This window comes from Homo sapiens, chromosome 7, assembly GCF_000001405.40.
Source record: "Homo sapiens chromosome 7, GRCh38.p14 Primary Assembly".
NCBI lineage: Eukaryota > Metazoa > Chordata > Mammalia > Primates > Hominidae > Homo > Homo sapiens.
In genome coordinates, this window is record NC_000007.14 from 34,684,903 (window position 1) to 34,699,514 (window position 14,612).

The 14,612-nt window shown below is 36.2% G+C and overlaps 1 protein-coding gene and 1 long non-coding RNA gene across 7 annotated transcripts in view; one reads left to right on the plus strand and one right to left on the minus strand.

Annotated features, from left to right (window-relative positions):
- Window positions 1-14,612, minus strand: part of NPSR1-AS1 (NPSR1 antisense RNA 1) — a 487,820-nt gene that overhangs the window by 338,391 nt on the left and 134,817 nt on the right. The gene's annotated exons all lie outside the window — the stretch shown is intronic.
- Window positions 1-14,612, plus strand: part of NPSR1 (neuropeptide S receptor 1) — a 220,115-nt gene that overhangs the window by 26,685 nt on the left and 178,818 nt on the right. The window lies entirely within an intron of this gene.

Sequence of the window (14,612 nt, forward strand, 5' to 3'; positions counted from 1 at the left end):
TAATGGAAATATCATTATCAGTATCACCAAATGGTTCTATAGGGTTTCCCTGTTTTTATACACAGTAGCCTCCATAGTTCACTAAGGTGATATTACCATATCATCCTGCATTATAAGCTTAAGGAATACATCCCAGAAAATGTACCAGCACTATCTCTATTAAATTATTAATGTTAAGTCTTGAGTACTTTGCAGATTAAAGCCTGTGGACATTGCTTTTGAAATGCAAATGATGTGTAACACCACTACTGGGGGTAGTATAATGAAGTAATATAATCTCAAGGATCGGGATGCTTAAGTGTAGACTTTGGAAATGACCATTCAGTAGAAGAGTGAGCACAGCACACCTAGTAGAGGAATGGTGAAATATTCTCAAGGAAGAAAATGATCTGTGAAAGTTAGGGCCCCAAAGACATGAGTAGAGCTCATGTTCAAAAGGAAAAGAAAAACACAACCAGGGAAAGAGTCCTGTTCTACAGGCCAGAAAGAAAGTGAGAAAATGAGATTCACAGAAGGTCCAGCATAAGCCACACTTGGAGTCCTAAGCTCTGGGAGCAAGATGGCTGTTATATTAGCTTAATTTGGATCAGACTATAGAAAAAAAAATGCAAAAGGAAAAATTTAAATATTAAATGCTTACAAGGAGTGACGGCAAATGACTTTCAGAAAGGGCTATTTGGTACATTTCAACCTGTACTGTTATCTCAGCTGTAGTAATGGTAGTGGAGCTCTTTAGAATTTAGTCTTGAGCCATAATATTTCAAAAATTTATGACACTGTAACTTACAAGAGAATCTTAGCCATACATTGTTAGTAACCTGAAATTCCCCTTTTTCTTTCTAACAAAGTATAACAAGCCCACCTGCTTGAGCTGGGCTGCAGTGGCCAGGGTAAACATCCAAGGCACCAGTGAAAAATACAGAGAAGGTAAAAGGAGCAAGAGTTCTGAAGATGGAACCTGGGATGGGGGAAAGTTTCTTCAATCTTTCCTACCAACAAGAACTCCAATTTTTCACTCCTATAACCGTAGAAGTAGAGGTAATTAGGATCATCCAGCAAATGCTTAGAGGCAAATATCCCTGGATGAGGATGCCACAGCTTATTTTCATTATATTTCTTCGATTACAGTGTGGTAATGCATGTTGTATGGAACTACATATTCTTTCAGAATGAAAGGATTTAGAGGTGGCAAGAATATCAGCTTGAAATTTAAAGTTTTTTCATAAACAATAAACAAATGATAATTGAAAATTCACTACATATTATCAAAGACAAAAGTTGTATGTTCTAATTCATCATCGTTGTATTAATCTGGGCTTAATTTCATGTACATCTCCTGGACAGTGTTTTTATTTGTTAATTGTTTCTAGAAAAACTCTAGGGGTCAGGTCAGAAGCATTTTAAATGAAGAATTCCTGAAATGAAAAACATTGCCAAAGGTCTAAGACTGAAGCTCAATGGTCTGAGATTGAATTTATATATTATTGAAATTTCCTTCATACACATTTTAGCATGATCACAGATCCTTTGGTAAAGGAGGTGAGAATACATACCTGAGTCTTGAGTATGCATATAGAAGTTACCCAGGCATCAACTGAGGGGCCCTGTGCTTTGAGACATATATAAAAATGTGGTTTGAGTCCCCCATCATATGTCAATGTCCTCCTTAAGATTTCTTCAAATTCTGTGGAATTTATATTTTTACTTCTCTTTTGCTTCTTGCTTCCTCCTTCCACTAAATTCTTGCTCTCTCTCACCAGTATCTCATCTTTCTGAGCTCCTCTTTTTTTGCGGTTGTTTCATGCTGTCCCTAACGAGGCACTCAAAGCACCCTCCTTTCCTTTATTTTCTTTAAAATCATCCACAAAAGTATGACTTTCTTTGTTTAAAGGACTTTTCTGAATATTTCAGGTAATATAATGATATTGTATCACAGAAAAGTAAATATCTTAAGAGCAAATATTTCATTTTCTCAGAACATTCAGCTGACATCAGAAATGTTTCATTTTGATCATGCCACTGCACTCCAGCCTGGGCGACAGAGTGAGACTCCGTCTCAAAAAAAAAAAAAAAAAAAAAGAAATGTCTCAGTTTTACCTTGCTTCAGCCTCACTATTCTGCTCTCTCTTCTAAATGTCTAGTATCTTGTGCCAAAAAATTTTAATACTTTCCTCTGTTTTTGTTTTGCTTTGTTCTTACCACTACCAAACCGTGATCTCAGAGACCCCACAACTTCCAAAAAACAAGTATCAGGCTTTTTTTTTTTTTAACAAAGGAAGTTGCTCCCTAAAAAAGAACCCTGGAACTAGTTACAATGATAAACAGACAAAGAAAAATACACATTCATATTTATAGTTACATATGTCATGGCTAAAAATAAATTATTCTAAATTGTATAAAACCATAAGATATACAGTGATAACTCAATAGTATGTTGTATTAGTCTGTTCTCACACTGCTATGAAGAAATTCTCGAGACTGGGTAATTTATAAAGGAAAGAGGTTTAGTTGACTCAGAGTTCTGCATTGCTAGGGAGACCTGAGGAAACTTATTAATACAATCATGGCAGAAGGCAAAGGAGAAGCAGGTACCTTCTTCACAAGGCAGCAAGGTGGAGTGAGGGCAAGCAGGGGGAATGCCAGATGCTTATAAAACATCAGATCTTGTGAGACTCACTCATTATCACAACAACAGCATAGGGAAACCGCCCTCATGATCCAATTACCTCCACCTGGTCCTGCCCTTGACACATGGGGGTTATTACAATTCAAGGTGAGTTTTGGGTGGGGACATAGAGTCAAACCATATCATATATTATGTGCTGTGCTTGCAAAAATTTTGAAGTGGTTTTAGGCCAATACGCCTACCTACAATAATTAGAAAAGCTGGACAAAATTTAAACATTTGTTAGAAGGTATCACATAGCTGCCAAAGACAATTAAGACTTGAGGGGCCAAGATTTCATAGAGCAGAAAATTTTATGAGATAAATACATTATTTGACACCACTATCCCCTTAAAGTATTAGCTGATTTAAAAGCAGAAACTGGAAGGCTGAAAACCTGAGTAGAGCTTTGGGCAGTTTCACTGGACTGATGGGGCAAAAATTAATTTGCCAAAGCATACTGGCTTTGATAAACATTCCAGGGTTTCCATTGGTACTGCTGAAAAGATACAACCTACAAGTAAGAGTGAACTAAAAATGGATCAGCCCTCACCAAAAAATTAAATACAACCCAAAACCTGAATGAAATCAGATGATCTACCTCTGCATGCACACAAACCATCTGCCAGTGCAAAAATAAATCTTCTTTGGAGGAAGAAGGCATTATCCCATCATCAAATTAACTATAATTTTCCATGCACAACGTTCAGCACTTGATTAAAAAATAACCAGGAAGGCAACAATACAATAATTGATGAAAAACGAGGAGAAAAATAGATAACGAAGAGTTGCACAAGAGATCCATCTATTGGCATTATCAAGATACAGAATTTATAACTGTTGCTCATCTGTTTAGAAGCTACAAAATAAGATTGAAGGTTGAATGTCCTATCTCCAGGCTTTTGGTGCACCTGCCCCCTTAACAGTGGAGCTTGAGCACACAAAGAACTCCCTTTCCACACAAAGAACTTGGTGTAGTGGCAGTTCCTCCACTCCACACCTGGATGTAATTCCAGCCATTTAACACACCTGCCCCAATGGACTAGGAGTTTGAGCCACCTCTTCCTCCCATGCAAAGACCTTGTGGCTGCAGTTTCTCTGCTCTTTCCCCAGACATATCACCCAACTCGAGGTGCACCTGCTCCTCCAGATCAGGAGCTTGAGCTACTCCTACATTCCCCAGGAAAACTTTGTGGCAGTAGTGGTCTCTCTCCACCTTGCTGGGGCATATTTCCAGGCATTTGACACACCTGATTGTCTAAATTAGAAGCATGACCTGCCCCTCCGTGCAGAGATCTTGGTAGAGCAAAGCTCTCTGCACTCGATGCCCAGACATATTTCCAGGCATTTGAAGCACCAACTCTTCTAGATTAGGAATTTAAGCTTCCCCCACTTCCTGTGCAGAGAACTTGGGACAGTGGAGGTTTCCAGACTCTATGCCTAGGCACATCTCCAGGCACTTGGCAGCTGCCCACCAGACCCTGCCTCAGAGCTAATGCTTCTGCCTGCCATTGGGAGAACTGTAGGAGAGCTTGCTTAGTCTAGCCCACCCATCTTGGCCCCCACTCCAGAACTAAGCAGGGAGCTCAGACCACTGTGCATTTCACAGATCAGCCCATTGCCCAAGTCAGCAGAACTTCTCCCAGTAAACAAGAATCAAGTATATATCCATTTGAGTCAGCTGCAGCTGAACTTTATCCATAAGCTTCACCTACTGGCCTGGAGGTTGAACTGCACAATACAATAAGAAATCTGGGGCCAGGCACAGTGGCTCACGCCTGTAATCCCAGCACTTTGGGAGGCCAAGGCGGGCAGATCACAAGGTCAGGAGATCGAGACCATCCTGGCTAATACGGTGATACCCGGTTTCTACTAAAAATGCAAAAAATTAGCTGGGTGTGGTGGTGGACGCCTGTAGTCACAGCTACTCGGGAGGCTGAGGCAGGAGAATGGCATGACCCCAGGAGGTGGAGCTTGCAGTGAGCCGAGATTGTGCCACTGCACTCCAGCCTGGATGACAGAGCCAGACTCTGTCTCAAAAAAAAAAAAAAAAAAAAAAAAAAAAAAGAAAAGAAAAGAAAGAAAGAAATCTAGGCAGGGCATGGTGGTTTATGCCTGTAGTCCCAGCACTTTGGGATGCTAAGGCCGGCAAATCACTTGAGCTTAGGAATTCGTAACCAACCTGGGCAACATAGTGAGACCCCCATCTCTGCAAAAAATTTTTAAAATTAGCCAGGCATGGTGATGCACACCTGTAGTCCCAGTTGCCAGGGAGGCTGAGGTGGGAGAATTATTGGTGCCCAGAAGGTCAAGGCAGCAGTGAGCCAAGATCATGCCACTGCACTCCCATCTGGGTAACAAAGTGGGACCCTGTCTCTAAAAAAAATTAAAAAAAAAAAAAGGAAAAGAAAAGAAATCTGATGACATAACTGCACAGCACTGGAAAATGTAATAAGCCTCCTGAGACCTCTGCCACCCAGCCTTATAGGAGGCAGTGAGCCTCCTCACATACCCAGTACACGGCTACTACAACCAGCATTTGGGAAAGCCACCATACAAAGACTACCCATTACCAAGAAACGCTTATACAGACTCGTTGCCACTGAAAGCACCCAGAACCAAATCCAAAGGACCTTACACAACATAAACTATAGACATCTCCTCAGATGAGGAAAAAAGTCACATCCAAATAAAAGCAAATTTAAAAAAAAATAAGAAGAGATAGCTTATCTGGATGAGAAGGAACCAGAGAAATAACTCGGAATGTATGAATAAAATAGAGTGCTACAACACCCCCAAAGGATCACACTAACTCTCCAGTAATGGATTCTAACCAAGATGAAATATTTGAAATATCAGGTAAAGAGCTCAAAATATTGATTTTTAAAAAGCTCAATGAGATCCAAGAAAAAATTGAAAACCAACACAAAGAAAACAATTCAGGACATGCAAGAAGAGATAGATACCACTAAAATAAAAGAAACGGACATTTAAAAATTATTGAAGGAAAAACAAAATAAAAGTGAAAGCTTCAACAATAGGCTAGACCAAGTGGAAGAAAGACTTTCAGAACTAGAAGACATCTTTTGAATTAAACCAGTAAGAAAAATATACAGAAAAATGAATTTTAAGAAATGCCTAGTGCCTTTGATAAATACGGGATTATGTAAAGCACCCAAACCTACAATTTATAGGTATTTCAAAGGGTGAAGAAGAAAAAGTATGGAAAACCTATTTGAGGAAATAATTCAGAAAAGCTTCTTTGGTTTTGGGAGAGATTTAGAAACCCAGATACAAGAAACTCAAAAAACTCCTAGAAGACACATCGTGAGAAGAACATCACCAAGACGTATAGTCATCAGACTATCCAAAGTCAACATGAAGGAAAAAATCCTAAGAGTGCCCAGAGAGAAGTGTCTAATCACCTATAAAGGAAATTTCATAAGACTAATAGTGGACTTCTCAGCAGAAACCCTACATGCCAGAAGAGATCAGGGGCCTATTTTTAGCCTCCTTAAAGAACAAATGTGCCAGCCAAGATTTTCACATCCTGCCATGCTAAGCTTTATAAATGAAGAAGAAATCAAGTCTTAACCAGACAAATAAATGCTAAGGGAATTTGTCAATACTAGACCAGACTTACAAGATATGCTCAAAGGAGTTCTAAACATGGAAACAAAAGAACAATACTCATCATCATAAAAGGACACACAGATACAAAGCTCACAGATCCTGTAAACCAACAACACAATTGAAACTCCAAGTAACAACACTGTGACAGGAACACAACCTCACATATTAATATTAATCTTGAATGCAAATGGCCTAAATATTCCACTTAAAATATAGAGTGGAAAATTGGATTAAAAAGAGACTCAACTATCTGCTACCTACAAGATATCCACTTACTGACTAAAGACAGCTATAGACTCAAAGTAAAGGGGTGGGAAAATATATATCATGCAAATGGGAAAAAAAGCAAGCAGGAGTAGCCATTCTTATATTAGATAAAACAGACATCAAACCACCAACAATAAAAAAACAAGACAAAGAATGGCATCATATAATGATAAAAGGTTCAAACGACAAGAAGATTGAACTATTGTAAAGTATACACGACCAACACTGGAGAGCCCAGATTTACAAAAATTACGACTACATATAAGAACAAAGATGAATAGAAAAAAAATAGTGGTCTTCAATACTCCACTGACATCAGTAGACAGATCATCAAGGCAGGAAATCAACAAAAAATCTCTGGACTTATTCTGGGTACAGTAACTGACTCTTGTAATCCCAGCACTTTGAGGGGCTGAGGTGGTAGGATTGTTTGAGGCCAGTTGTTCAAGACCAGCTTGGGCAATATACTGAGACCCAATTCCACAAAATAAATAAATGAATAAATAAATAAAAATTAATTAAGCATAGTAGCACATGCCTGTAGTCTAAGCAACTTGCAAGGCTGAGCTGGAAGGATTGTGTGAGTGCAGGAGTTTGAGGTTACAGTAAGCACCACTGCAATCCAGCCTGGGCAAAAGAGTGAGACCCTGTCTCCTAAAAAAACAAAACAAAACGAAACAAAATAAAAAGAAAGAAAGAAACTCTGGACTTAAACTATATATAGACCAAATGGACCTAATAGACATTTATAGAACATTTCATTTAATAACTGTAAAATATACATTCTTCTCATCTGTACATGGAACATTCTCCCAAATTGACTTTATTCTTAGCCATAAAGCAATTCTCAATAAATTAAAAAAAACTGAAATCATATCAAGTGTTTTCTTAAACCACAGTGGAATAAAATTATAAATCAAACCAACGGGCACCTTCAAAAATACACAAGAACATGAAAACTAAGCAATTTGCTCCTGAATGGCCTTTTGGTAAACAATAAAATTAAGACAAAAATAAAAAACATTTCAAAATGAATGAAAGTAGAGATACAACATACCAAAACCTCTGGGATATAGTGAAAACAGTTCTAAGAGAAAAGTTTATAGAATTCAATGCTTACACTAAAAGATAGAAAGATTTCAAATTAACAACCTAACATTACACCTCTAAGGAACAAGGAAAGCGAGAACAAGCCAAATCCAAAGTAAGCAGAAAAAAAAGAAATATAATAACAAAGATCAGAGCACAATGACATGAGATTGAGATTTAAAAAAAGATACAAAAAGTCAACAAAACAAAATGTTGGATCTTTGAAAAGATAAATGAAATTGGCAGCCTTCTAGCTAGATGAAACAAGAAACAGGAGAGATGATTCAATTAAGTACAATCAGAAATGATAAAGATGATTGACATAGTTTGGATGTGTGTCCTAGACCAAATCGCATGTTGAAATACAATCCCCCCGTGTTGGAGGTAGGGCCTGGTGGAAAGTGATTATATCATGGAGGCAGATTTCTCATTAATGGTTTAGGACCATCCCCCTTGGGCACCAGCCTACTGCCCTCATGATAGTGAATGAGCTTTTGTGAGATCTGGTGTTGCACCCCCCTGCTCTCTCTCTCTTGATTCTTCTCTGGCCATGTGATGTGCCTGCTCCCTCTTCGCTTTGCCTTCCATTATGATTGTAAGCTTCCTGAGCCCCTCCAAGAAGCCAAGCAGATGCCAGCATCATACTTCCTGCACAGCCTGCAGAACTATGAGCCAATTAAACCTCTTTTCTTTATAAATTACCCAGTCTCAGTTACTTCTTTATAGCCTTGTGAGAATGGACTAATGCAGTGAAATTACAACTGATACTATAGAAATAAAAAAAAATCATCAGAGATGACTATGAACACCTCTGTGCACACAAACTAGAAAACCTGGAGGAAATGGATAAATCCCAGAAACATACAACCCCCTAAGATTGAACCAGGAAAGAGTAGAAATCCTGAATAGACCAATAGCAAGTAATAAAATCACATCAGTAATAAAAAATCTTCCAACAAAAAAAATCTCAAGACCAGACAGATTCACAGCTGAATTTTATCAGATGTACAAAGAAAAGCTGGTACCAATCTTACTGAATCTATTCCAAAACATGAATGTGAAGCAATTCCTAACTGTTCCTATAAAACCAGTATCACCCTGATACCAAAATCATACAAGGACACAACAACAACAATACAAAAAAACCCACTACAGGCCAATAACCCTGATGGACATAGTTGCAAAATTTCTCATCAAGATACCAGCAAACCAAATCCAACAGCATGTTAAAAAGATAATACATCACAATCAAGTGAGTTTTATTCCATGGATGCAAGGATGATTCAACATATGCAAATCAATAAAATCAATAGACATGATTCACCACATTAACAAAACTAAAAACAAAAACCATATGATCATCTCAATACAATAAGGCGTCAATAAAATCCAACATCTTTTGATAATAAAAACCCTCAACAAATTAGGCATCTAAGGAACATACCTCAAAATAAGAGCCATCTATTACAAACCTACAGCCAACATTATACTGAATGAGGAAAAATTGAAAGCATTATCCCTAAAAACTGGAACACAATGAGGATGTCCACATTCACCACTCCTATTCAACATAGCACTGAAAGTCCTAGCTAGAGCAATCAGGCAAGAAAAAGAAATGAAAGGAATCCACACTAGAAAAAAAAGTCAAATTACCAAATTATCTCTGTTCAGTAATGACATGACTGTATACTTAGAAAACACTCTACAGACTCCAAAAGACTCCTAGACTTAACAAACAACTTCAATAAATTTTCAGGATACAAAATCAACATATAAAAATCAGTAGCATGTCTATACACCAGTAGTCTTCAGGCTGAGAACCAAATCAAGAACTTGATCTTAACAATAGCCACAAAAAATAAAATAAAATAAAATAATAAAACACCTAGGAATACTTTTAACCAAGGAGATGAAATATCTCTACAAGGACAACTACAAAAAGTGATGAAAGAAATTGTAGATAACACACATGACTGGAAAAACATCCCATGCTCATGGATTGGAAAATTTAATATCATTAAAATGACCATACTTCCCAAAGCAATCTACAGATTCAACACAATCCCTATCATATTACAAATGCCATTTTTCAGAGAATTAGTAAAACAAGATTAAAGTTTATATAGAATTTTAAAAGACCCTGAATAGCCAAAGTAATTCTTTTCTTTTTTTGAAATGGAGTCTCGCTCTGTCACCAGGCTGGAGTGCATTGGCACGATCTTGGCTCACTGCAACCTACACCTCCTGGGTTCAAGAGATTCTCCTGCCTCAGCCTCCTGAGTAGCTGGGACTACAGGTGCGCATCACCATGCCCAGCTAATTTTTGTATTTTTAGTAGAGACGGGGTTTCACCATGTTGGCCAGGATGGTCTTGATCTCTTGACCTTGTGATCTGCCAGCCTCAGCCTCTCAAAGTGCTGGGATTACAGGTGTGAACCACCGTGCCTAGCATAGCCAAAGTAATTCTAAGCAAAAGAAAAAATCCAGAGGCACCACATTGCCTGACTTTATACAACAAGGCTGTAGTAACTAAAACAGCATGATACTGGTACAAAAATAGACACACAGATCAATGAAACAGAATAGAGAAAGCAGTTAAAATGCCACATACCTGCAACCAACCCATCTTTAACAAAGCTGACAAAAATAAACAATATGGAAAGGACACCTTATTCAATAAATGGTGCTGGGAAAATTGGCTAGCCATATGCAGAAGAATGAAACCCTACCTATGACAATATACAAACATTAACTCAAGATAGATCAAAGACTTAAATGTAAGATCTGAAACTAAAAATCTTAGGGAAAAAAACCTGGGAAAACTCTACTGGACATTAGACTAGGCAAAGAATTTATGACAAAGACCCCCAAAACAAATGGAACAGAAACAAAAATAGGCAAGTGGAACTTATTTAAATTAAAAAGCTTCTGTACAACAAAAGAAATAATCAACAAATAGACAGCCTATTTGGAGAGGAAGTATTTGCAGATTATTTCTCCAACAAATGACTAATATCCAAAATATACAAGGAACTAAGACAAATCAACAAGAAAGAACAAACAACCCCATTAAAAACTGGGCAAAAGACATGAACAGACATTTCTCAAAATTAGAAATACTAGCAGCCAACAAACACATGAAAAAAGGCTCAATATCACTAATCATCAGAGAAATTAAAAGTAATACCACAATGAGATATCATCTTACACCAGTCAGAATGGCTATTATTAAAAAATCAAAAAACAATAGATGCTGGCAAGGCTGTGAAGAAAAGGGTAGACTTACACACTTTTGAGGGAATGTAAATTAGTTCAACCACTATAGAAAACAGTATAGAGATTTCTCAGAAGACTTGAAACAGATCTTCCATTTCACCAAGCAATCTCACTACTGAGTATCTACCCAAAGGAAATGAAATCACTATATAAAAAAGACATTTGCCCTCATATGTTCATTGCAGCACTATTCACACTAGCAAAGTCAGGCAATGAAGCTCAGTCTCCAGCAATGGTTGATTTGATAAAAAAAAAAAAAAAAAAAACTGCGGTATATATACACCATAGAATACTATGCAGCTATAAAAAAGAATGAAATCATGTCCTTTACAGAAACATAGATAAAGCTAGAAGCCATTATACTAAGTAAAATAACTCAGAAGCAAATAAAATAACATATGTTCTCCTTCATAAGGGGGAGCTAAATATCCATCCATAGATAAAAAGATGGAAATAATAGACACTAGGGACTCCAAAAGAGAGAAAGGTGGGAGGTGAATAAGAGTTGAAAAGTTACCTATTGGTTACAGTGTTCACTATTTAGGTAATGGGTACACTGGAATCACAATCTCCACTAGTTACAATATGTTACAATACACCTGTGTATTACAATATGCCTGTGTAAAAAACTGCACACATATGCCTGGAATCTAAAATTTTAAAATAATGAAGATTGAATGTCCTAGAAAGGAATAAAACAAAACATTTAGGAACTGACAATTACAACTGAAGCTTACAATACAATAGTTAAACTTAGCGGCAAATTAAATGTAGCTAAAGAAGAAATCATTGAACTGGAATATAGGTCCAAAGAAAATAATTAGATTGAAGCATGAAAAAAGAAAGGACAAAAAATACAAAAAGAAAATAAAAAGCATATGGAAGTAGTGAAAAGGACTCCCAGAAAAAGATAAAGCCCAGACTGGATAGAAACAACACTTATAGTGGCCAATAATTTTCCCAAACTCTTTAAAGACATCAAAACACAAATACATAAAGCACCATAAAGGACAACAGCAAGCAAACAAACAAATATAAAGAGAATTAAAACACATGAAATGATAAGACTAAGTAAAAGCCCCATAATCTTGAATTTGAAATGAAAATATTTATGCTAGCTCATGATGTATTTTATGCTTCAGGAGTTTTTAAGGATACATACCAAAATGTTTATAGGTAAACTGATAACATGTCTGGGATTTACTTCAAAATAATTTGAGGCTGGGGGTGGGTTGAGATGTATAGATGTACAAAATTGATATTGATAACTGTTGGAGGTTGGTGGTGAGTACATTGGATTCTTTATTTTTTTTATACTATTCTCTCTACTTTTATGTAAGTTTAAGATTTTTTTCATAATAAAATTCAAAACAAAATTATGCATGATTATAATGAAACAAAATAAAGAGATCTGGGTAGTTAAAGATGTTAAAGTCCTTGGATTGCCTGGATGTAGTAAAAGTACTAATTTCTATTAGATTTTAATGTCAAGGAGGTGTGTTAAAATCTCTAAAGTAATCCTCCCAAATTATGAAAACTGACATTACTAGCAAGCTAAAGAAGGTATAAAATGCAGTATTTGAATATGCAAATATATATGTTTATATATAGAGTTATTCCCCAGTATCCATGGAGGATTAGTTCCAGAATCCCCTGCCAATACAAAAATTCGAGGATGCTTAAGTCCCTTACATAAAATAGATAGTATTTGCATATAACCTACATACACCCTCCTGTATACTTTAAGTCATCTCTAAATTACTTATAATTTCTAATGCAATGTAAATTCTATATAAAAATTTTTATACTATATTCTTAAAATTTGTATCATTTTATTATTGTATTGTTATTTTATACTTTCTTAATATTTTTAATCTGCAGTTGATAGAATCCATGGATGTGGAACCCACAGATAAAAAGGGCCAATTATAATACATACATATTATATAAAATCAATCTAAGTTAAGACAGGAGAGAAAAAATATTAGAATTATTAGAACAAGTAAGAAGAATAGGCCAGTACACTTAACCTCAAATGTATCAGTAATTGCATTAATTGTAAATGGACTAAATATTCCCATTAAAATAACAAGATTGTCAGAGTAGATTTTTAAATTACCTATTTTAATTTGTTTATAAAAGGTGTACACCATAAATAAAATGATGCAGGTTAAAATTAAAAGGAAAAGGATGGTAAAGTAAAATGATAAAAAATAATGAAACAAAACAAAACACAAAGTAAAAGTAAGCCAATGCAGCTACATATGTGTATCAAAAGTTTATAAATTTGCTGTGATTCTTGGAATCACTTGTAGCTTTATCTGTGTCTTAGAATTTGCTTTGAAAGGAATACAAAGACAGGAGGGCTTCTAAAGCTAGTAATGTTCTATTTCTTGATCTTGCTTGTAGTTACGTGGGCGTGTTCCTCTTGTAATAATTCACCAAATTATATACTTATGATTTTGTATACTTTTCTTTATGTGTTTTATTTCAATACAAAGTTTATTTACAAAATATATCACATTAATCCAGGGCAGGGGTTGCAATCTCAAATGGCTTTAGGAATCAAGCAGGCAATGAATGTAAACATGTAAAAGAGCCAAGGGGAAGAGACAGAATGAAAACAGAGATAAAAACCAGAGAATGAATGCCCTGCCTAAAGACATTAAAATCAATTTTTGTCAAACACTGTGCTGATCAAACAAATCACACATGCAGGCCAGATTTGACCCAAGGGTGACTTTCTTACAACAACTGATATATAAAATTTAAACATCAGAATTTGAAAAGTGTGCCACTATAAAATTCTAGCCCACCTCTGAAGTATGAACCCACCTTCAATTTGTGAGGTAGAATATTAATCTTTACTGGTGGATTGTGAGAAGTGAGGCCAAGAAGTTGGGGAGGTTAACATTTACAATGGTTTAGACAAATCATATGTTTGACAAGGTTTAAAATCCCTTCTGTTCAAAGAATATCTTATATTAGGATTTTCTTCTCCTAATGTGTTTATTATTGTTTTTATTAGTATAATTTTTAAAGAAATCTGAACTATTGCACGCCTCAGAGACCATAACAGTGAGAACAAAAATATAAAGGAAAATTTTCAAATGATGGAAAGTGTAACCCATATAACCCGAAATCTTCATGATTTTCAGATGACCATCTGATTAAGGAGAAAAGTCAAGATAAGCACATATTCATATCTGCTTATTTCTAGAATTGTTCTATCAGAAGACCATGAATTGGTCATATGAGGGGAAGAAACACTGACATGATACTGGCTCTATTAGGATGATATTAAAAGAGGCTGCTGGCTCAAGCTTAGCATGGATGAGTTGTTCTCACATAAAGATGCTGTTATTGACCAGGTGTGGTGGCTCACGCCTATAATCCCAGCACTTTGGGAGGCTTTGGTGAGTAGATCCCCTGTGTCCAGGAGTTCAAGACCAGCCTGAGCAACATAGTGAGACCCTGTCTCTACTAAAAAATTTTTTAAATTAAAAGTTAAAAAATTAAATGATGTTGCTATTGTTAATGCATTCCTGCAATGCTAACATGCTTTCATAAATATACTTATGATTTTATAGGTGTTTTCCTCTTAGCCTCAAGAAGGGAGATGTTTTAGTCTAGGGACTGTCATAACAAAATAATATAAACTGTGTGGCTCAAACAACAGAAA